Genomic DNA, 21,859 nt, shown 5'->3' on the forward strand with positions numbered 1-21,859 from the left:
TCCTAGGGGGGAACTGGGTTGTCACTCTTCTCTTTCTGTTTCCTAATATTTAAAGCTACCTTTTTTCTCTTAGGAGCTTTCTTTCTTTTTTCTTTTTCCTTCTTTCTCTCGTTTCTTTCTTTCTCTTTTATTTCCCCCTCCCCTCCTCTCCCCTCCCCTCCCCTCCCCTCTCCTCTCCTCCTTTCCTCTGCTCTCCTCTCCTTTCCTCTCCTCTCCTTTCCAACAGTGTCTCACTCTGTTGCCCAGGCTGGAGTGCAGTGCCATGATCTTGGCTCACTACAGCCTCAATCTCCTGGGGTCAAGCAATCCTCCCACCTCAGCCTCCCAAGTAACTGGGGCTACAGGCATGCACCACCATGCCTGGCTAATTTTTTAAATTTTTAGTAGAGACAAGGTCTTGCTATGTTGCCCAGGCTGGTCTCAAACTCCTCAGCCCAAGCAGTCCTCCTACCTTGACCTCCTAAAGTGCTGGGATTACAGTCATGAGCCATCACAGCTGGCCAGGAGCTTTCTTGGGTTCTTTGAAATCTCCTTTCTGGCCCCTCAACTGCAACACCTCCCTTTCATCTGGCCACACTGCACCCCCCCCCACAACCCCCCTGGCCATGGCTCTGCAGGGACCATGCTCCCCCAGGCACTAGCTATCCCCTTTAAGGAGTCCTCCTGGGTAAGGCTTACAGTGGCTCCAGGCTGGTGTACACTTGCTTGCTCTCTCTCATACAGTCCACATCTGGTCCTCAGGAATCATCCTCTCATATTTTGACCAGCCATTGGAGAGGAGGACCTTGCTTCCTAGGCACAGAAACAACTCTTCTCCCAGAGTCCTAGAGCCACAGCTCAAGCCCCCTGGGTTGTCCAAGGAAGGCTCTCTCTTTCAGCTTAAGGAAAAGGAGCCAGCAACTCTTTACAAAGGACTCTCTCCCCACGTGACAACCCAAGCCCTTGGTTACCAAGGCTGGCAATCCCTTCAGGCAGCCCAGCTCACTCTCACTTCTCTGATCTTAAATTTTTAGTCCCCGGGATTTTGTCTTTGAGTCATAATACATTATATTCTCAACACATCAAAGCAGTACTTAAGGTTTGAAGAGTTGTTTGTTCCTCCACAGGGCAGGCCTTAGCTCCAGGCTCCCTCCTCCTCCTCTGTGGCTTTCTCTCCTCGGGTTGCCCTTAACATTATTGCATGTGTGCATATTGTCACTGCCCCACATTTCCATATTTCTACATGTCCTTAAAGCACTGGAGCTGGAAAAAGGCATGATTAGAAAGTGAGTTGGTTTTTTTTGTTTTGTGTTGTTTTTTGAGAAGGAGTCTCACTCTGTCACGTAGGCTGGAAGTGGTGCCATCTCTGCTCACTGCAAGCTCCGCCTCCTGGGTTCAAGCAATTCTCATGCCTCAGCCTCCCGAGTAGCTGGAATTACAGGCGTGTGCCACATGCCTGGCTAATTTTTGTATTTTTAGTACAGACGGGGTTTCACCATGTTGGCCAGGCTGGTCTTGAACTCCTGACCTCAAGTGATCCGCCCACCTCGGCCTCCCAAAGTGCTAGGATTACAGGTGTGAGCCACTGCACCCAGCTGAAAGTGGTTTTTAAGTTAAATTTTAACAATGTTTTCTTTTTCTTCTATTGCTTTCAATAACCCCAAAATTCCCTGGGCTCCTACAGGAACAATGACACTGCCATTGAAATAGACAACTGCAGCAGCTACAAGATACCCTCTCCAGTGGCATCTCCAATCAATTTGAATATACCCATGAGAGCTGCCTTGAGCCACAGCCTCTGGGAACAAGAGGACTGGAATGAGCACCTTCTACAAGTTCATATAGCCAGTTACCTAGGAGAGCACTTCTTGGGAGCCTGACACCTAGGCAAAACATGCTCTTCCTTGCATACGTGTACTTGCTACCACCTCTTATAATGCTCCTTTTCCACTGTGAGCCAAGTGACCTTGGGAGAGGTAAGATGGTGTTTCCAACAAGGTGCTTCTCTACTTCCACCAATAAACTTCCAAGTGAGTCCCTAATTTTTGCAGGTTGGGCTATAGGGAGGCTCCAGTTTGGGAAAGGACTGACTGAGAACAGGAGCAGTTTTTGGAAAAATAGGTGGGAAAAGTTACTGTCTGTGTGTACAGAGAACTACCTGAGACTGGGTAATTTTATTTATTTATTTATTTATTTATTTATTTATTTTGGAGATAGAGTCTTGCTCTGTCTCCAGGCTGGAGTACAGTGGTGCGATCATGGCTCACTGCAACCTCCACCTCCTGGGTTCAAGCAATTCTCCAGCCTCAGCCTCCCAAGTAGCTGGGACTACAGGCACACACTACACCTGGCTAAGTTTTTATATTTTAGTAGAGATGGGGTTTCACCACGTTGCCCAGGCTGGTCTCCAGCTCCTGAGCTCAGGCCATCCAGTCACATTGGCCTCTCAAAGGGTTAGGATTACAGGCGTGAGCCACCAGGCCCAGCCTCGAGTCTGGGTAATTTATAAAGAAAAGAGGTTTAATTGGCTCATGGTTCCCCAGGCTGTACAGGAAGCATGACTGGGGAGGCCTCAGGAAACTTACAATCAAGGCAGAAGGCAAAAGAGAAGCAGACCTGTCCTACGAGTCTGGAGCAGGAGAAAGAAAGAAGTGGGAGGTGCTATGCACTTTTAAACAACCAAATCTCGTGAGAACTCACTATCATGAGAACAGCAAGGAGGAAATCCACCCCCATGATCCAATCACCTCCCACCAGGCACCTCCTCCAACACTGGGGATTAAATTCAACATGAGATTTGGGCAGGGAGACAGATCCAAATCATATATCAGTCTGCTCAGTTGAAACCACACAATAGCCAAGCAAAGCCAAGAAAGCCAGTCCAAGGCTGGCTTGGAAAGGGCCTCTGAGGAGAAATCAACTTTCAAAGGGGCAGGGGGAAATAGAGGTTGAGCTACTGCAAGCCCAAAATAAAAGAAATCCTGAGAAGGATGGTAACCAGCTGGAAGATTCCTTTGTGTTGCTCCACTATATCAAGCAAGAAATTGAGTCTTTGGCTGGGCGCGGTGGCTCTTGCCTGTAATCCCAGCACTTTGGGAGGCTAAGGTGTGCAGATCACTTGAGGTCAGGACTTCGAGACCAGCCTGGCCAACATGGCAAAGCCCTGTCTCTACCCAAAATACAAAAATTAGCTGGATGTGGTGGTGCACACCTGTAGTCCCAGCTACTCAGGAGGTTGAGGCAGGAGAATTGCTTGAACCAGGAGGCAGAGCTTGCAGTGAGCTGGGATCATGCCACTGTGCTCCAGCCTGGGTGACAGAGCCAGACTCCATCTCAAAAAAAAAAAAAAAAAAAAAAAGAATAAATTAGGTCTTCATTGCCCTGTGTTAGTGTAAAGCTATGAAGGCTCCCCTGGCTCATACAACATTTCATTGCTAATGAAAACATGGTGAGGAAGATATTGACTGCCCATCACCAGAAATTCTGATTAATTTGACTGTTTCTTACCCAGAACCTAATGAAAGTGAACTGGAAGACATGGCATCTTTGAGTATTGGGAATGGGGTAGGAGCTTTGGCCAACCTTTATACACATAGGGAATACTTACAAGGAAAATACCATGACTCCTTTTTTTTTTTTTTTGAGACAGTCTTGTTCTGTTGCCTAGGCTGGAGTGCAGTGGTGTGATCTCAGCTCACTGCAACCTCCACCTCTCAGGTTCAAGCGATTCTTGTGCCTCAGCCTCCCAAGTAGCTGGGATTACAGGTGTGAACCACCAGTCCGGCTAATTTTTGTATTTTTAGCAGACACAGGGTTTCTCCATGTTGGCCAGGCTGGTTTTGATCTCCTGACCTCAGGTTATCCACCCTCCTCGGCCTCCCAAAGTGCTGGGATTACAGGCATGAGCCACCACGCCCAGCCCCACCACGCCCACTCCAATATTTAATAAGTATTTGTCAGGCTCCTGCTAGGTGCTAGACACTGCGTTTGACGCTAAGTATATTGGAGAGAACAAGACAGACGGACAAGTTACCTGCCTTGAGGGAGGGTCTGGGAGAGATGCCAAGTCCTATTTTGGAGACATAGTGAAGCCATTAATGTTGACCTGATGTCTGAGCCACCCAGTCTGCAAATGAAAGCTGGAGGCCCTGCTTTCCAGCATGTGTGGTTCACATCCTATGTGGTGCAGAAAGAAAGAACATGGTTGCCCTCCTCTTGTGCATGCTCAGTTGGGCTGAGCAGTCAAATCTGGCTGAATTGAGTCAGAAAAGACATCTGAGTTAAGAGGATGCCTGATGCTTGTTGGTTTTGTCTTGCCTCCAGTAAAATTAAAAACAAGTTTCCTTTCAGTATGTTACAATCAAATAAGCTGAGCATTGTTGGTGCTGGTGAGGGACATCTAGAAGCTGAACTTAGAAAAGACTAATGTGCAGGGTGATTGTACTTCCAAATGCATGCCTGTTGTCCTGGTATCATTATTAATACATACCCATTTCACTCTGAGAAGTGTCCCTCAGTGAATCACAAATCATGTGGCCATCCTATCTATATGGCATACTTATAAACATTGAAAGGCTTGTCATCCCCACTTCTTTGTCTTGGTTTAAGCCTTCATCAGCCCTCACCTAGACTATTGTATTAATAGTAACCCCAGGCCAGGCATGGTGGCTCAGGCCTGTAATCCCAGCACTTTGGGAGGCTGAGGCGGGCAGATCACGAGGTCAGAAGTTTGAGACCAGCCTGGCCAATATGGTGAAACCCCATCTCTACTAAAAATACAAAAATTAGCTGGGCATGGTGGCGCACACCTGTAGTCCCAGCTACTCGGGAGGCTGAGACAGAAGAATCTCTTGAACCTGGGAGGTGGAGGTTACAGTGAGCAGAGATGGCGCCACCGCACTCCAGCCTGGGCGACAGAGCCAGATTCCGTCTCAAAATAAAATAAAGTAAAATAGTAACCCCAATTGGTCTCCCAGACTTTATCATCATCATCATCATAATAGCTAACATCTTTAGAAATTTGCTATCTTCTAAGCACTATGCTGACTTTACAAAGATCACATAAACCACACCACAAGCCATTGAGAAGTAGATCTTATTATTACATTTTATAAATGATAAACCGGAGCCACAGAGAGGTTCAAGAACTTGCTTAAGGTCACACAGGTAGTAAGTAGCAGAGCCAGGACTTGAAGCCAGTCTGTCTAACTCCAAAATCCAAATTACTCTTGATGCCTCTCCAATGTCTTCCCAACTCATTCCCTTTTCATACCTCTAACAGAGCAACTTTTTGACACATAAATCTGACAGAAAGGACCAGGCACGGTGGCTCATACCTGTAATCCCAGCACTTTGGAAGGCCAAGGTGGGCAGATCACTTGAAGTCAGAAGTTTGAGACCAGCCTGGCCAACATGGTGAAACCCTGTCTCTACTAAAAATGTGAAAATTAGCCAGGTGTGGTGGTGCGCGTCTGTAGTCCCAGCTACTCAGGAGGCTGAGGCAGGAGAATCTCTTGAACTGGGGAGGCAGAGGTTGCAGTGAGCCGAGATCACTCCACTGCGCTCTAGCCTGGGCAACAGAGCAAGATTCCATCTCAAAAAAAAAAAAAATATATCTGACTGAGTTTCCTCCTTAATAAAACCAGACCCTTTGACATGAAATGACTAGACCCCTGCCTCTCTCTCCAGCCTCTCCACTGGCCACTGCTGCCATAGAATCTTATGCTCCCACCATGCCAAATTTCTTGTGGTTCCCTAAATGCGCCATGTTTGAAGATACTTTGAGGACATTGTATATACTTTTGTTCTACCTGAGATACATTTGCTTACTTTCTCCACATATTGCCCTCATGACACTTATCCTTATTGATGGATTTCTTCAATGCTACTATTGTGCCTTACATGTGCCTTGTATTATAGCATTTTTATAGCATTTCTCACCCAATTGTGGCTATTTGTTTACATGTCTGTCTCCTTGGTGGAACTGTGAACTCTGTCATAACAGATGCCATTTTATGTCAGTTAGACTTCTTTGGTTGCCAGTAAGAGAAGCTGACTCTAATCTAAACCAAAAGGAATTCATTGGACGGATGTGGGTTGGCTCACAAAATCAAAGGGACAACTGCGGAGCCGATCTTGGAATGCTCTGACACCAGAACAGCTCTGTGAATTCAGATAGGGGTAGTGAATTGACCATTTCATCAAATGCTGCAGCAAGCTAGGTGGTTTCCCCAAAGGAAATTGAGGAGTGTTACAAGAAGACCATTAGGGGAACGGTTATCTGGTGGCTGATAATAACAAATTTCCATGGCAGTCTCTTTGCTCTCTGTTGGAAGAGGTACTCCACCATGGGCCTTGAGCATCTCTACACATCCTTGCTAAGCGTGTCAAATTTCAAGTCCTAACTGTCCTCTGTCTCTGGAGGAGGAGACAGGTTTGGTTACTGTTTGTTGTAAAAATTACTGAGCCCTTCACCATGGGTGCCTCAGCTGTATGCAAAGCCCCTTGTATTGCTGGGGGACAGAGCAACTGGTACTGCCATGCTGGTGCTCTGGCTGTTTGCTGTTGGCAATAAACTATTCTGTTTTGGTTCATTGAATCTCTGTCTACTTTGGGCACCTATGTGATCATGGTAAATCAACCTGCTTGCTTGCCTAGTCATTTTTTTAGAGTATTGTTACGCCTTGACATCCTCTATGAGACCTAGATTCTTCTCGGACACTGTCCAAACCCACATACAATCTTTTTTTTTTTTGGAGATGAAGTCTTGCTCTGTCGCCCAGGCTGGAGTGCAGTGATCTCGGCTCACTGCAACCTCCACCTCCCAGGTTCAAGCAATTCTCCTGCCTTAGCCTCCCGAGTAGCTGGGATTAAAGGCACGCGCCACCACATCCAGCTAATTTTTGTATTTTTAGTAGAGATGGGGTTTCACTAGGTTGGCCAGGATGGTCTCGATCTCCTGACCTCATGATCTGCCCACCTCGGCCTCCCAAAGTGCTGGGATTACAGGCGTGAGCCACCGCGCCTGGCCCCCCTGGTTTCTTCCTTACCTTTGTATCACAAAACTTCTAGACCAAACAGTAAATATAAACGCCACAAGCATACCCTATGCACAAAATGAGAGAAGGATTTAATTTAAATAACATACATCACTGCAAAGAAAGAAATACAGGTGGAAGTTTTAGTTCTTTCTGCTTCTTGGTTACAAGTCAGTAGTAGTTGTCATTTCTTACTTCCCTCCTATACTACCATTCCAGGTACCTCTTGCTTTGACTGGGTTCATTCCCTGGTAGGGAGTCCACAAACTTTCACTCCTGAAAATCCTAAGCCCTTGATGGTTTTGCACATGTAGAGTTGTGTGATCTTCTTTTGACTGGGCAAGAGCTGTAAAGAGGCATCTCAGTTTCCTCTGAGTACCATTCCTACTCCTCTCTGCCCCCATTCTGTAGAACCATCTTTTTGCTTTTAATAATAACGGTCCCCCCTCCCCCTCCCCTCCCCCTCCCCCTCCCCCCTCCCTCTCCCCACAGTCTCCCTCTCCCTCTCTTTCCACCGTCTCCCTCTGATGCCGAGCCGAAGCTGGACTGTGCTGCCGCCATCTCTGCTCACTGCAACCTCCCTGCCTGATTCTCCTGCCTCAGCCTGCCGAGTGCCTGCGATTGCAGGCGCGCGCCACCACGCCTGACTGGTTTTCGTATTTTTTTGGTGGAGACGGGGTTTCGCTGTGTTGGCCGGGCTGGTCTCCAGCTCCTAACCTCGAGTGATCCGCCAGCCTCAGCCTCCCGAGGTGCCGGGATTGCAGATGGAGTCTTGTTCACTCAGTGCTCAATGTTGCCCAGGCTGGAGTGCAGTGGCGTGATCTCGGCTCGCTACAACCTCCACCTCCCAGCCGCCTACCTTGGCCTTCCAAAGTGCCGAGATTGCAGCTTCTGCCCAGCCGCCACCCCGTCTGGGAAGTGAGAAGCGTCTCTGCCTAGCCGCCCATCGTCTGGGATGCGAGGAGCCCCTCTGCCCGGCTGCCCAGTCTGGGAAGTGAGGAGCACCTCTTACCGGCCGCCATCCCATCTAGGAACTGAGGAGCATCTCTGCCCGGCCGCCCATCGTCTGAGATGTGGGGAGCGCCTCTGCCCCGTCTGGGATGTGAGGAGCGCCTCTGCCCGGCCGTGACCCCGACTGGGAGGTGAGGAGCGTCTCTGCCTGGCCGCCCCATCTGAGAAGTGAGGAGCCCCTCCGCCCGGCAGCCGCCCCGTCTGAGAAGTGAGGAGCCCCTCCGCCCGGCAGCCGCCCCGTCTGAGAAGTGAGGAGCCCCTCCGCCCGGCAGCCGCCCCGTCTGAGAAGTGAGGAGCCCCTCCGCCCGGCAGCCACCCCGTCTGGGAAGTGAGGAGCCCCTCCGCCCGACAGCCGCCCCGTCTGGGAAGTGAGGAGCGTCCCCGCCCGGCAGCCACCCCGTCCGGGAGGGAGGTGGGGGTCAGCCCCCGCCGGCCAGCCACCCCGTCCGGGAGGGAGGTGGGGGGTCAGCCCCCGCCCAGCCAGCCGCCCCGTCCGGGAGGTGGGGGGCACCTCTGCCCGGCCGCCCCTACTAGGAAGTGAGGAGCCCCTCTGCCCGGCCACCACCCCGTCTGGGAGGTGTACCCAACAGCTCATTGAGAACGGGCCATGATGACGATGGCGGTTTTGTGGAATAGAAAAGGGGGAAAGGTGGGGAAAAGTTAGAGAAATCAGATTGTTGCTGTGTCTGTGCAGAAAGAAGTAGACATGGGAGACTTCATTTTGTTCTGTACTAAGAAAAATTCTTCTGCCTTGGGATGCTGTTGATCTATGACCTTACCCCCAACCCCATGCTCTCTGAAACATGTGCTGTGTCCACTCAGGGTTAAATGGATTAAGGGCAGTGCAAGATGTGCTTTGTTAAACAGATGCTTGAAGGCAGCATGCTCGTTAAGAGTCATCACCACTCCCTAATCTCAAGTACTCAGGGACACAAACACTGCGGAAGGCCGCAGGGTCCTCTGCCTAGGAAAACCAGACCTTTGTTCACTTGTTTATCTGCTGACCTTCCCTCTACTATTGTCCTATGACCCTGCCAAATCCCCCTCTGTGAGAAACACCCAAGAATGATCAATAAAAATAAATAAATAAATAATAATAATAATAACGGTCAATCCACTCTAACAACTCCAAAACCCCCTTCTACACATAACACCATGCTCTCCTAATGGTAGGAGGAGACAAAAATGGCAGCCGCAGTTCAGTTTTCAGTTGGTGGAATGATTTTTGTGCACCTGGTGAAATCACTTTCACCCTTAGGTATTAAAATCTCCAAACTTCATACATGCAATTAAAAATTATTTTTTATTTTTAAAAAATCTTTTTCCACATGTTCTATGCAATTTTTCATACAACTCTTCCTTAAGAAACTCCTAGAGGATGTACGCAATTAAAATGAAGTCAACTCAGAAAAACACGGCTCCAGGAAAGTGGTGGGTTCAATGTAGGAAAAAAGTGAAGGCAATATCCAGGTGAAGAGAGATGAAGAGAGAGTCCAGAATGACAGGAGAACAGCAGCCCCAGAAAGCAGTCAGCTCTTACTGGAGCAGGAGAGAGGACTCTGCTAAATACATCTCCGCAAAGATCAAATTGATGGAATACCTGATGTGTTTGAATGCACTGAGAGACTTACGCTTATGGCAAAGTTTAGGGGTGTGTTAGGAATAGGACTATTAAGCCAAGCAAACAAAAAATAATATAAATATTAACTCTGAGAGGAAGAAGTTGTACAAAAAAAGAAATATAATTCAAGTATGTACTATATCTTTGACTATTCATAATACTGTACACATCGAATATAGATTGAATCAAAGCAGAGGATGGTTGAAGCTCAATTTGGGGGATGGGGGAAAGGGGAAGGGAAAAAAGGTGAAGATTAAACCCTTCCCTTCCATGGCTGGAAGTTCTGTGCCCCAGAATTCCCTTGGTTCCTGCATGTTCTCCAAGCTGATCTACATCTAAGAGCTCATCACGTCTGGTTTCCAGGTGGGTTTGGCCAGTGGGAAACCCAGGCAGGAGATCAGAGAGGATGAGGAGAATGGGGTCAGGACAACTATTTCCTCCCTTGTGGTGACATAAGGTAGGCTGTTAACAGAGGGAAACTGTCAGAAGTATTTGAACCAGAGCAACTCCATCTTGAATGGGGGCTGGGTAAAATAAGGCTGAGACCTACTGGGCTCCATTCCTAGGAGGCTAGGCATTCTTAGTCAAAGGATGAGATAAGAGGTTGGCACAAGATACAGGTCACAAAGACACCACTGGCCAAGACCCACCAACACTAAGATGGTGATAAAAGGGACCTCTGGTCGTCCCCACTGCTCATTATATGCTCATTATAATGCATTAGCATGCGAAAGGGCTGCTATTCTCTAATAAACTTGCTTTCACTTTATGGACTGACCCTGAGTTCTTCTTGTACCAGGTCCAAGAACCCTCTCTTGGGGTCTGGATCGGGACCCCTTTCCGGTAACAAAACTGCTCCTCTCGTGGTGGCTTCCTCTACTAGACTCTCCTGTATCCAGTAACCACTCCCTCCCTTCATCCTTCAGATCCCTGGTATGGACTTAGCTAGCTTGATGCCCCCTTCCTGAATTGTGTAACGTGAGCAGGAACATCACTCATCTCCATGCAGGCGTTGTCGCAGTGGGGCCACCATCCTGGCCAGGCAGTCCCGGCCATGAGACAGTCGCTGGGCTTCCCTCCAGCTTACTGCTTTTTGGTTCTGGCCTATTCTCCATGCCTGGTTCTTTTAACCTTCAGTTGGTATGAAGAGCTCCCCAATAGTCTTCCAATAAATTCCCTTCGGCTTGGGTTGGCTGCATGTTTTCTACGTGTACACCCATGAAGTCTAATTGATGTGGTTCTGTGCCCAGAAACATGGAAGCTGCGTAGGGAAACGTGCCAGCCATATGTGTGTACCTGCCAGTGCCTGGGTCCTACTAGACTGACCCAGTTAAAGTGTCTATTTCTTGTTAAATAAATCCCTTTCTGCCATAGCCAGCTGTGGCTGCTCCACATTGTTTCTCCTTCAAAATGAGGGAAGAAACAACAGCCCTTGCTGACTGGGCTCATCCTTGAAGTTGATTTCTCAGAATCTATTTCTTAGATGAAAACACCACACGGATTGGTGAAATTTCTAATGGCCAATACACACACCATTTAAAAGAGAAAAGAAACAAAACATTGTTATCCGGAGTTAATTATGCTCCACCAGGACATGGCATCTGCAAAAACAATCCCCAAGACAATGTAAAAATGCATCTTAAAGTTTCTGACATGGAATTCAGAGAAAAGAGAAAATGTCCTCAAGGAATAACACCCAAATGGACCCTCTTAAAAGATGTGGTGGAAATTATATGGAAGCTTCATAAATGCCTTTGTAAGTCTTGAGAAAAATAAGCAGCGGGTTAATTAGGGCTTTACTGTTGTAGGTGAGGCAGCCGGCAGGGAAGCAGAGAAGCTGGGAGCATGAATGTATAGAAACGCGTGGTTCTGGGTTCATTAGTGACCTCCCAGAAACACAGGTCATCAATTTAGAGAAAACAAAACACAAGGGGCTCATCTCGAGAAATCCAAGACCATGGCTTCAAAAGTGGTTCCAATCACTGAGAGTGGTAAAGCTTCATAATTTAAAATGAATATTTAGAGTTATTAAGGCTGAGGCCATTTACAGAAGCTGTAACTTGAAACCACCAGAATTACCACAATCTACAGATAGTCTAAGAGAAGGCGGTTCTGGATTTTGCTCTGTCTCTGATTCCTGCCTGATTTAGAACAAATCGATTTATTTCCCCATTGGGGATACAGATAATTTTCTTTTAGTAAACTATCACTGAATTTTTAAATTATGTCCAAAGAAAACATTGTTTTGTGGTGTTAATAATTGCAACAGCAGCCAGAAACACACCATATATCCATTACATGCAAAGAAATAGTCACAGTTAGAGTATTCTAAGTTGCTTTTATAATCTTTCTAAAGTCTCCAAATTAAGTACACTGCCTTGGACAAGGAAGGAAAGAAATGTCTGTGACCTCCATCCCTCCTCTCACTCCGTTCAAGGGCCATATCTGGATGCAAGAGGAATGTGGTGTTTTGGGGTCCTGCCACTCTGTCTGTAGTCATCGTGGTGCTGAAGCTTAAGTTCCATGAGCAGAAGCTGCTGGAGCAGGTGGACTTCCTGAAATGGGAGGTCACGGACCACAGCCTCCACGGGCTGCCTCCCTGGCTGCAGAGGGAGGCCGACCCGTGCTGCAGCCAGCGGAGCCTTGCATGCCAGAGCTGCCCAAACACTGCTGCACAAGCTGTATGCTCTGGGCCTGGTGCCCACACATGGCTTGCTCGAACTCTGCGACATTGTCAGGGCTTTGTCCAGGCCTTGTCCTTGTCGTTGTCGCTGCTGCCTCCTCCCTACCATTCTCCTCAGGCTGCAGGGCCTTCATGGAGCAAAGCCATGTGCTTGTAGGCCCTGGATGTGGTTACCGACTCCACCTTTCTTTGTCACATGCCGCATGGAGGACTTTGTCACCTGGGTCGGCTCATCCAAGATCAAGCAACACATGCCATCATACAACGGGGAGTGCAATGACTTCGATCTGGAAGCCTAGCTGGTCTCCTAGTCTCCACGGCTGCCTGTCTTTTACAGATACGACAACCAATGCTGGAGATTCTATAAGGGCGCTCCCCACAAGAGTGTCAGCAGGTTGTAGTTTCTTAGGTTCCTCAATGGCAGGCCATGCACAGAGCCAAGGAGGGGAGAGGGCGTGGTGCCTGTTTTCAAGGAAATTTTCTTAGTATTCTTAGTACTTGGACTACTGATTATTAAATGACTGTGCCTTGGGAGACAGTGAAAAGTGGTTTGGTGCTGCACTGTAGAATTGTTAGCTTCTTGTGTTGGAAACTTTTTAGTGTAAAAGCAAGAACTCTGGCCGAGCATGGTGGCTCACGCCTGTAATCCCAGCACTTTGGGAGGCTGAGGCGGGCGGATCACTTGAGGTCAGGAGTTCAAGACTAGCCTAGCCAACATGGTGAAACCCCGTCTCTACTAAAAAATACAAAAATTAGCCAGGCATGGTGGTGGGTGCCTGTAATCCCAACTACTCGGGAGGCTGAGGCAGGGACAATTGCTTGAACCCGGGAGGTAGAGGTTGCAGTGAGTCGAGATTGTGCCACTGGACTCCAGCCTGGGCAAGAGAGTGAGACTCTGTCTCAAAAAAAAAAAGAAAGAAAGAAAGAAAAAAACCAGCACATGGACTTTAGTCCACGTGTAACATATAACCCATGATAATGTAAGTAAACTTTGATAGGACAATTCTATAAGGGGTACTGGTCACAAGAATTTTTCCTCTCTGAGCATAAGAATTCAGTCCACCCAGTCCATGCATCTATATATAACAATACTTTGGGAGGTTATAAGCACAGGAAAAGGGTTTGTGGAGAATGACTAAACTCACAAACTGAAATGAAGACTAAATATATTTTGCAAGGCAGTTAATTTAGGCATAAATATAGTCACTCAACTGTGAATATCATGCATGGAGTTCTGAAGGCTGAACTTCCAGCCTTCTTCACTAAAGACTGAAATTTGCTTTGCTCAGCTCTTTTCTGGACTCCTTTCTTCCTAGTTCCGTTGGTCTTTGTGTACTGACATTATCTCTATAGCAAGTTGCCTTCTTGCTTTAAGGTCTATACCAGTCTCACGTTTAGCTGCAAACAATGAGAAGCCAATCAACAAGGGCTTAAGGAACTCTATTCACTATGTCTAACCTTTAAAGAAAAAGATGTTACTATCTTTGCAGGCCAAACCAAGTCTTTGGTAATACGCTGGGTATCTTCTCTAAGCTCCTGCTCCCATCCCACCCCAGGCCAGGCCAAGCCACTGTCCACCCTCCACCATCCTGCTCTCTGCCCCAGAGGCTGGGAACCTCTATGGACTGTATCAAGGGAGGCGCATGCTGTCCGGCTTTGGTTGGATTTGACCAGTGGGAAATCAAGGAGGACTGGGTAGGAGAGTCTCAGGCTGCAGCACAGTTCCAAGAAAGTTTCAGCAGACTGACAATGAACCCTTAAATTCAGTGCACGTTAGAGGAATCTGCATCTCCCCGGAATGGGGTCTCCCTGCAGCTGGAGGTCTGAATACAGCATCTTCATGGTCACCACAAGGAGAAGTATAGATTACACCACTGCCCAAGTCCACCTGAACATTTTTAAATTTTATTTTTATTTTTTTTCTTTGAGACGGGAGTCTTGCTCTGTTGCCCAGGCTGGAGTGCGGTGGTGTGATCTCGCCTCACTGCAGCCTCGTCCTCCCAGGTTCAAGTGATTCTTATGCCTCAGCCATCCCAGTAGCTGTGATTACAGGTGTGGGCCACCATGCCTGGCTAATTTTTGTAGATTCTTTTGTAGAGACAGGGTTTCATCATGTTGGCCAAGCTGGTCTTGAACACCTGGCCTCAAGTGATCTGTCCGCCTCGGCCTCCCAAAGTGTTGAGATTACAGGTGTGAGCCACCATGCCCAGCCATATATTATTTTATTTATTTCCTTTTCCTCCAGTAGAATAAATTCCATACCTATACTACACATTGTGCAAAATAATATTTTTCAGGTTTTAAGACATTCCCAAGGAAGTGTAGATGCTTGTGTGGAATTTCCCTCCCTTCCTCCCTCCCTGCCTTCCTAACTTCCTTTTTTTTTTTTTTTTTTTTTTTTGACAAGGTCTCACTCTATCACCCAGGCTGGAGTGCAGTGGCACAATCATGGCTCACTGCAGTCTTGAATGCCTGGGCTGCAGCTATTCTCCCACCTCAGCCTCCTACGTAGCTGGGACTGCAGGTGAGCAACGATGCCTGGCTAATTTTTAAAAATATTATTATTTGTAGAGGTGAGGTCTTGCTATATTGCCCAAGCTGGTCTCGAACTCCTGGGCTCAAAGTGATCCTCCTGCCTCAGCCTCCCAAGTTGCTGGAATTACAAGCGTGAGCCCCTGTGCCTGGCTGCTTCTGTGGAACTTCTATACACCTTTTTGTCCATTGTGTTTTGAAACTGCCCACTGCCCCTCTGTGTCTCATTTTTCTAATCTGTCCCATAATCTCTATGTCCTCTTGGCCATTTTAGATGTCTTTGTATCAACTTTCTCTAGTCTTTCTGTCAACACAGTTTTTTGTCTGGACTGAGATGTGTAACAAGATTATTAACTTTTTTCAGGTCTAACATTCTAAGTCAGGCCAGGTGTGGTGGCTCACGCCTATAATCCTAGCACTCTGGGAGGCTGAGGCAGGAGGATCACTCGAGGTCAGGAGTTCAAAACCAGCCTCCTGGGCAATAGAACAAGACCCTGTCTCAAAAAAAAGAAAAAGGATTCTAGGTCAATGAGTCCCAGTGGGCAGAACTCCACCACAGAAGGTGTTTGGAAGTTCTTAAATGATGGGGTGTTTGGGGAGTCACCATGGCTGGAGGGCACTAACGGCATTCTGGCAGTTGAGGGCCATGATGCTGGAAGCCCTACAGAGAATAAATAATGATCTTCTTATGCCACTCTGACCATTCTGGCAGGTGAAGAACATGTTTACAACTACTTGAGTCTAGACCCTAACTCCCCCAACCCACTCACCCAATTTTAATATACACAGAATTTTCCAGGAAGTTAACCATCATGTAAATCAAGGGAAGATGGTACTTTGGGGTTTGTGTGTGTGTTTTGTTTGTTTGTTCTTGGTGCTTAACCAAAAGTTGTTCACAGTTTGGAAAATCATTACAAAGTTGCTCCTAGGACAGTAAAACCTATTTAATAAGTGGGGTTCAGATCCCCTACACAACCTTGGTTTTAGTTGGGATTCACTCTGAGTGGGGCTTGGAGGGAAGGGTAAAGCCAGCAGGAAAAGACAGGCGGCTCCTGCAGGGCAGCTCTCCTGGGTCCAGAATTCTCCCTACAGGTCTCCCCAGATCAAGCCAAGGAAATGGGCGCCAAGTAACCAGAGACTGCTGGAGTCATTGCCAGTGGTCCCGTGAATCACAGCCAGCCTCAAGACCTCAATTTCTTCACCCGGCCATGTAAGCAGAGCGGACAACTCTGAGGGCGTGGCTGGGCGGGGTTCTTGGGGCAGCCCGGCGCCACTGCCGGCATCTACGCACCCTGAACGCGCCCGATCTGGTCTCATCTCGGAAGCTAAGCAGGGTCGGGCCTGGTTAGTACTTGGATGGGAGATCGCCTGGAAATACCGGGTGCTGTAGGTTTTTGGCTTCCCGCTCCCTCTCTCTTTCCCCCTTTTGTCGCCGCGCTTTTCAACCGCCCCCTAACTCTGCTCCCCCTTTTACTCCGTCGCAGCCCGGGACCTCCTGGTGGGGGTCCGCCACTGCAGCACCAGGCGCCACTGCCATACCACCCTGAACGCGCCCGATCTCGTCTGATCTCGGAAGCTAAGATGTGGCCGCATTTAGGACCCCACCGGCTTGGCTGTGCCTCTCCCAGCCCCCTGGCGGAGCGGACTAACCCTAGCATTTCATTGATTCACAATAACGCCACCCCACCCCGACTGACTATTTTGAGCCCCATTTGCCAATCTGTAGTGGATCTTTACTGTTTTGGAGTAGTAAATTCAATACACCTTTATGGGTCTATTTTTGTAACTACTGCATTCTGGGTACAAGCTTCTGATTCTATTTCATGGCTTCGAATGAAGTCGTGCACAAGCATTTACATATTGACTTATGCATTGTTTTATATTTTCCTTGTATATTACAGTTGGGGCAGGATATCAATTTTTAAAATTTGTATGTATAGGTAGGTTACAATCATTATTAATTTTATTTCAGGCTGGTGAAACGGTGTGACAAAATATTTGTCGTAAAAAGAGGACTTGGGTCTGACAGGGTTGAGAACCACAACACTGGAGGAGTGTTGACCTCCCCAGTGCTTCTCTGTTGACTTTGGTGGCACTTAGACAGCTCCTGCACCATCTCTGCCTTCTCTTGCCCACACCCCACACTGGGGCTGCTTCTCTAGGCTCCTCTGCTCTGCTCTTCCCACACCTTCTCCTCAGCCCTCAGGTCAGCGAGTCCTGGGCAGCCTCTCCTGCTCCCTGGTTCAATCCCAGCCATGCCATCACCCACGCCTCAGAGTCTCTCCTGCCCCTCCTTAACCCATGCCACCCCGACTCCAGCTAGGTCCTATAATCTTCAATCTCTTCTGGGCTGTCTGTGGGAGGGAGGGTTCCTGCCTAGATACCTGTTCTGTCCATAAAATCAGGTTCCAAATCTCCCTCATTTGTATTTGTTTGATTTTATTTATTTATTTAGAGATGGAGTCTCACTCTGCCGCCTAGACTGGAGTGCAGTGGCCCGATCTTGGCTCACTGCAACCTCTTCCTACTGAGGTCAAGCAATTCTTCTGCCTCAGCCTCCCAAGTAGCTGCCACCACACTTGGCTAATTTTTGTGTTTTTGGTAGAGACGGGGTTTTGCTGTGTTGGGGGGCAGGCTGGTCTCGAACTCCTGACCTCAAGTGATCCGCCCCCCTCAGTCTCTCAAAGTGTTGGGATTACAGGCGTGAGCCACCGCGCCCGGCCAATGCCCCTCATTATATAGCCTCTGCTCCAGCCAGCTGAGCCCTGGAGGTTCCCTACCATGGTCATGTCAGGGAATAGGGGAACATCCTGTGTCAGCTAACTTATTGACTTCTCGTGAGGGCTCTTGCTACTGAAGTCCTGGTTTCTGTCCTTATCACTATAGTATTCCAGGGCAGCCAGGTTCAAGTCCTTATAGTCATCTCTAACTCTTTGTCTCTTATATTTAACAAGGCACCAACTGAATTAAACTTAATGAACATTTAAATGAATTTTTAATAAAAAATTTTAAATATGTATTACAAAAATATTGTTCATAAAGATTCCAATAATACAGAACTAAAGTAATTTTGGGGCCTGTCTGTCCATACCTGCTGCCCCCCCCCCCCCACCACCAAAAACAACCAACTTCATTGAAACAAGCACTTCAACTGCTTCTTATTTAACAATTCATTTGTTCTTGTGTAATCTCAGGGTGTCAAGTTCTGTAACCTTCTAAGGTCACTCTTTCTTTTATTATCTAAATGAAGTGACTCAAGCCTCTAGGCTACTCCTGTCATGCCTGAAGATTTTCGGGGATGCTTGCACTCTCCTGATTTATAATCACTTTGATGTCTGAATCTCACTGAATCCCACAGCCTAGTGATTTTTCGTTTGATTTATAGCTTAAGTGCATTGCGATCCAGATATGAATATTGCTATATGCAATTCAGTGATTAAAATTTGCTGAAACTTGCTTTATTGCTCATAATCTGGCCATTTTTTACTTATAAATTTCCCTATGTACTTAAAATTAAAGCATATTCTGCAATTGTTGGGTGTAGTGTTCTCTGCCTATGGTCTATTAAATCAAGTTTGTTAATCATGTTTAAATATTCTATATCCTTACTGATCTGGTCTGCATGCTATATCAATTACAGAAAGGCATTAAAATCACCTTCTGTGATTATTACTTTGTCCATATGCAGTTCTGTCAATTTCGCTTTATATAGCTTGAGACTATTATATTTTTGAGTTTTATTTTTTTTTATGTTCCTGGTGAATTGAACGTTTTATCATTCCACAGTGGTCCTTTGTCTTTTTAGCAACAGTTTTTGGTTTAAAGTCCATTTGACTAACATTAATATAGCTCACCAGCTTTCTTTTGTTAGTACTTACATAGTGTATTTCTCTTTCATTCTTTTACTTTCAAGCTTTCTTTATACTTTTGTTTTCCTTTCTCTTTTTGAAATGGGGTCTCTCCTGTCACCCAGGCTGGAGTGCAGTGGTGCATCATAGGCTATTTTCCTCTTGACTAATTAGCATGTGAATTGTAGTTATATAATTTGTAATCTTCAATTATTCTTGCTTTCTTTAGTACTGACATTTAGTAAGGTTTGTTTTGTTTTGTTTTGTATTTTGTTTTTTTTTTTTTTGAAACGGAGTCTCTCTCTGTCACCCAGGCTGCAGTGCAGTGGCACGATCTCAGCTCACTGCAACCTGTGCCACCAGGGTTCAAGCCATTCTCCTGCCTCAGCCTCCCAAGTAGCTCAGATTACAGGCATGCACCACCACACGTGGCTAATTTTGTATTTTTAGTAGAGATGGGGTTTCACTATGTTGGCCAGGCTGGTCTCAAACACCTGACCTCAGGTGATCTGCTCACCTCAGCCTCCCCAAGTGCTGGGATTACAGGAGTGAGCCACGGTGCCCGGCCTTAGTAAGGTTTTATTATTCTTTTAATACAAGATAGATTCTATTTGCTGCCATTTTATTTAGATGTTAAAATCAATATTAAAATATGAGCTTGAAACATGCATACATACATAGCTGGAATCCCAGGAGAAGGGAAGAAATGAGATAGAAGAAATATTTGAGGAAATAATGGCCAAGAATTTCTCAGAATTCATGACAGCCATCAAACCTCAGATCCAAGAAGCTCAGAGAGCAGAAAGCAGGATGTACTAACATGAGCACACACACACACGATGCACTACCTACACATTTTAAGTTCCTACTGCTGAAAACAAAACAAAAAGAAGACATCTTGAAGGAGCAAGAGAAGAAAGAAACACAGTTGTCCCTCAATATCCACAGGGGCTTGGCTCCCCCACAGATACCAAATCTACACAGTCCTAAGTCCTGGTGGAACCAACTGATAGGAAATGTGAGCCCTCCATCTAGACGGGCTTCACATGCAGCCAGTACCATATTTCACATAATGCATTTGGTTCTGGACGTGGAACCCACCCATATGGAGAGTAAACTGAGTGTATTTTTAAAATCCAGGTGTAAGTGGACCCTCAAAGTTCAGCCCCATGTTGTTCCAGGGTCAACTGTATTCCATAGAGGGAAACAAATGTTAGAAGTAAATGCTCGCTTCCACCAAGTGAAAATAGCACTCAGGCAAAAGTTTTCTCAGCAAGGCAGTTTACTTCTATAGAAGGGTACATCTATAGGGGAGGGGGAGGGGAGGGGAGGGGGAGGGGAGGGGAAGGGGAGGGGAGGGGAAGGGGAGGGAGAGGGGAGGGGAGGGGAAGGGGAAGGGAAGGGGAGGAGAGGGGAAGGGGAGGGGAGGGGAGGGGAGGGAAGGGAAGGGAAGGGAAGGGAAGGGGGTCTTATTCCTAATGTAGCTTGTCCCTACTGCTGTGTCTTTCCCCTATTGGCTGGGATTGGATCGCACAGTCTAAGCTAATTCTGATTGGCTATTTTAAAGAGCGAGAAGGTATGAGCCAGAGTGGCAGGGTGAGTAGTTTTGGCAGGAGGGATGGTTGCAGAGCAGGTGACTAAGGATGACTAAGGACAAAGCAGGTGACTAAAAACAGAGCAGGTGATAGAGGCTAGGAGGGGGTTGTTCACTGAAACTAGGGGCAAGGAGACGTAAAGAACGAGGAAATTAAAGTTTAAAACAGAGAACAAAGAACAGGGGAGCTGAACATACTGATACATTGGTTCTTTGGAGAGGAACTCAGAACTCATTGTACTTAACAATTTTCTCCCTCTTGAATTTTAAAGGAAGTTAACAGGCTTAAGGCTTTGAAGAGGAATTTATTATATCCTACACAAAAATAAGAATTACAGTAAACTTCTCATCAGAAACCACAGAAGCCAAAAGAAAATGGTCTGACCTTCTTTAAAGTGAAAATGAAGCAAATCAAGACAAAAATCTCTGGCAATCCAAAATTCTATACTCAGTGAAAATATCCTTCACAATACAAAAGAGGTAAAAAACCTTTCCCAGACAAATGAAAACTGAAGGAATGCATTGCCAGCAGACCAGCTCTACAAGAAATGTTAAAGAATATTCTCCAAGCAGAAGGAATGTGATAGCAGACTGAAACTTGAATCTGCACAAAGAAATGAAGCACACTGGAAATGGAATAAAGAAGATAAGACAGAATCAATTTTTAAAAAAATTTTAGTTTCTCTAAAAGGTAAAGCAAAAATAGTGGCAATATATTATAGGTTTGTAACATATATAAAAGTAAACTGTATGACAACAATATCAGAAAAGACAGGAGGGAGATATTGGAAAGACCTGTTGTAAGATCCTTACACTACACACAAAGCAGTATAATGTTATTTGCAGTTGGATTTCAGTTAACTGTAGAAGCATATTATGACTATTAGGGCAACCACTAAAATTTCTTGAAAATATGTTTTTATACATTATAAATATGAGATATATGTATAAGATAATAGAGATGATAAAATTGAATCATAAAAAATGATCAATAACCCCCCCAAAAGGCAGAATAAATGAAGGAAAGATGCAGAGAACAGATGGAACAAATAGAAAACAGTGATCAATATGGTAGATGTTAATGCAGCTACAGTAATAATCACAGTAAATGTGGACAGTCAGTCTAAACACATCAGTTAAAAGTCAGAGATTGTCAGATCAGCTTTAAAAATGGACCAAACTGTATGCAATCTACAAGAAATCTTTTTTAAAAATGTAAAGACAGAAAGGTTAAAAGTAAAAGGACAGAGAAAGCTATGTAACGCACACCAAAAGAAAGCTGGAGTAGCTATTTTAATATCAGATGAAGCAGACTCCCAGGCAAGGAATATTAGCAGCCATAAGGAGGGCATTATATAGTGATAAAGGGATCAATTCTCCAAAAAGATAAAATAGTTTTGAATGTGCAAGCATGTAAAAATAGAGCTTCAAAATACTTGAGACAAAAATTGTTAGAACAGAAAAATAAAAGACAAGTTCACAATTATAGATCAAGTCTTCAATATTCTTCTCTCAGTAAGTTGATAAAATAGGCCATAAAAATCAGTAAAAATA

The 21,859-nt window shown here is 46.1% G+C and overlaps 1 protein-coding gene and 3 pseudogenes across 17 annotated transcripts in view, besides 2 other annotated features; all 4 read left to right on the forward strand.

The window, feature by feature from the left end:
• GARIN1A (golgi associated RAB2 interactor 1A) overlaps positions 1-21,859 on the forward strand; it is a 37,538-nt gene that overhangs the window by 9,672 nt on the left and 6,007 nt on the right. For 6 of the 17 annotated variants that reach the window (XR_007060032.1, XR_007060031.1, XR_007060033.1 and 3 more), the window contains 2 exons: positions 1,664-2,009; positions 20,578-20,962. Coding sequence is in view for 4 of the 17 variants with exons in the window: in NM_001290254.2 (NP_001277183.1) it covers positions 1,664-1,859 (196 nt within the window). In the remaining 13 variants the exon portion in view is untranslated. Of the gene's footprint in view, positions 1-1,663; positions 6,578-7,508; positions 8,115-20,577; positions 20,963-21,859 lie in introns of those variants that run through there. The other 11 variants (NM_001290254.2, NM_001290255.2, NM_001012454.6 and 8 more) reach the window with 8 other exon arrangements.
• IMP3P2 (IMP3 pseudogene 2) lies at positions 12,150-12,624 on the forward strand (annotated as a pseudogene).
• Positions 12,281-12,781: an enhancer, noted in NCBI's record as "H3K4me1 hESC enhancer chr7:128333635-128334135 (GRCh37/hg19 assembly coordinates)". NCBI's record gives its function as "activates a minimal SCP1, AML or CMV promoter by ChIP-STARR-seq in naive H9 embryonic stem cells {active_cell/tissue: H9 hESC(naive)}" and the evidence as "EXISTENCE:reporter gene assay evidence [ECO:0000049][PMID:30033119]".
• RNA5SP242 (RNA, 5S ribosomal pseudogene 242) lies at positions 16,139-16,256 on the forward strand (annotated as a pseudogene).
• Positions 16,410-16,444, forward strand: RNA5SP243 (RNA, 5S ribosomal pseudogene 243; annotated as a pseudogene).
• Positions 20,162-21,361: an enhancer, noted in NCBI's record as "MED14-independent group 3 enhancer chr7:128341516-128342715 (GRCh37/hg19 assembly coordinates)". NCBI's record gives its function as "activates an origin of replication core promoter dependent on BRD2, BRD4, P300/CBP and CDK7 cofactors, and independent of MED14, by STARR-seq in HCT116 cells {active_cell/tissue: HCT116}" and the evidence as "EXISTENCE:reporter gene assay evidence [ECO:0000049][PMID:35650434]".

The sequence above is a fragment of the Homo sapiens genome, chromosome 7 (assembly GCF_000001405.40).
Source record: "Homo sapiens chromosome 7, GRCh38.p14 Primary Assembly".
NCBI lineage: Eukaryota > Metazoa > Chordata > Mammalia > Primates > Hominidae > Homo > Homo sapiens.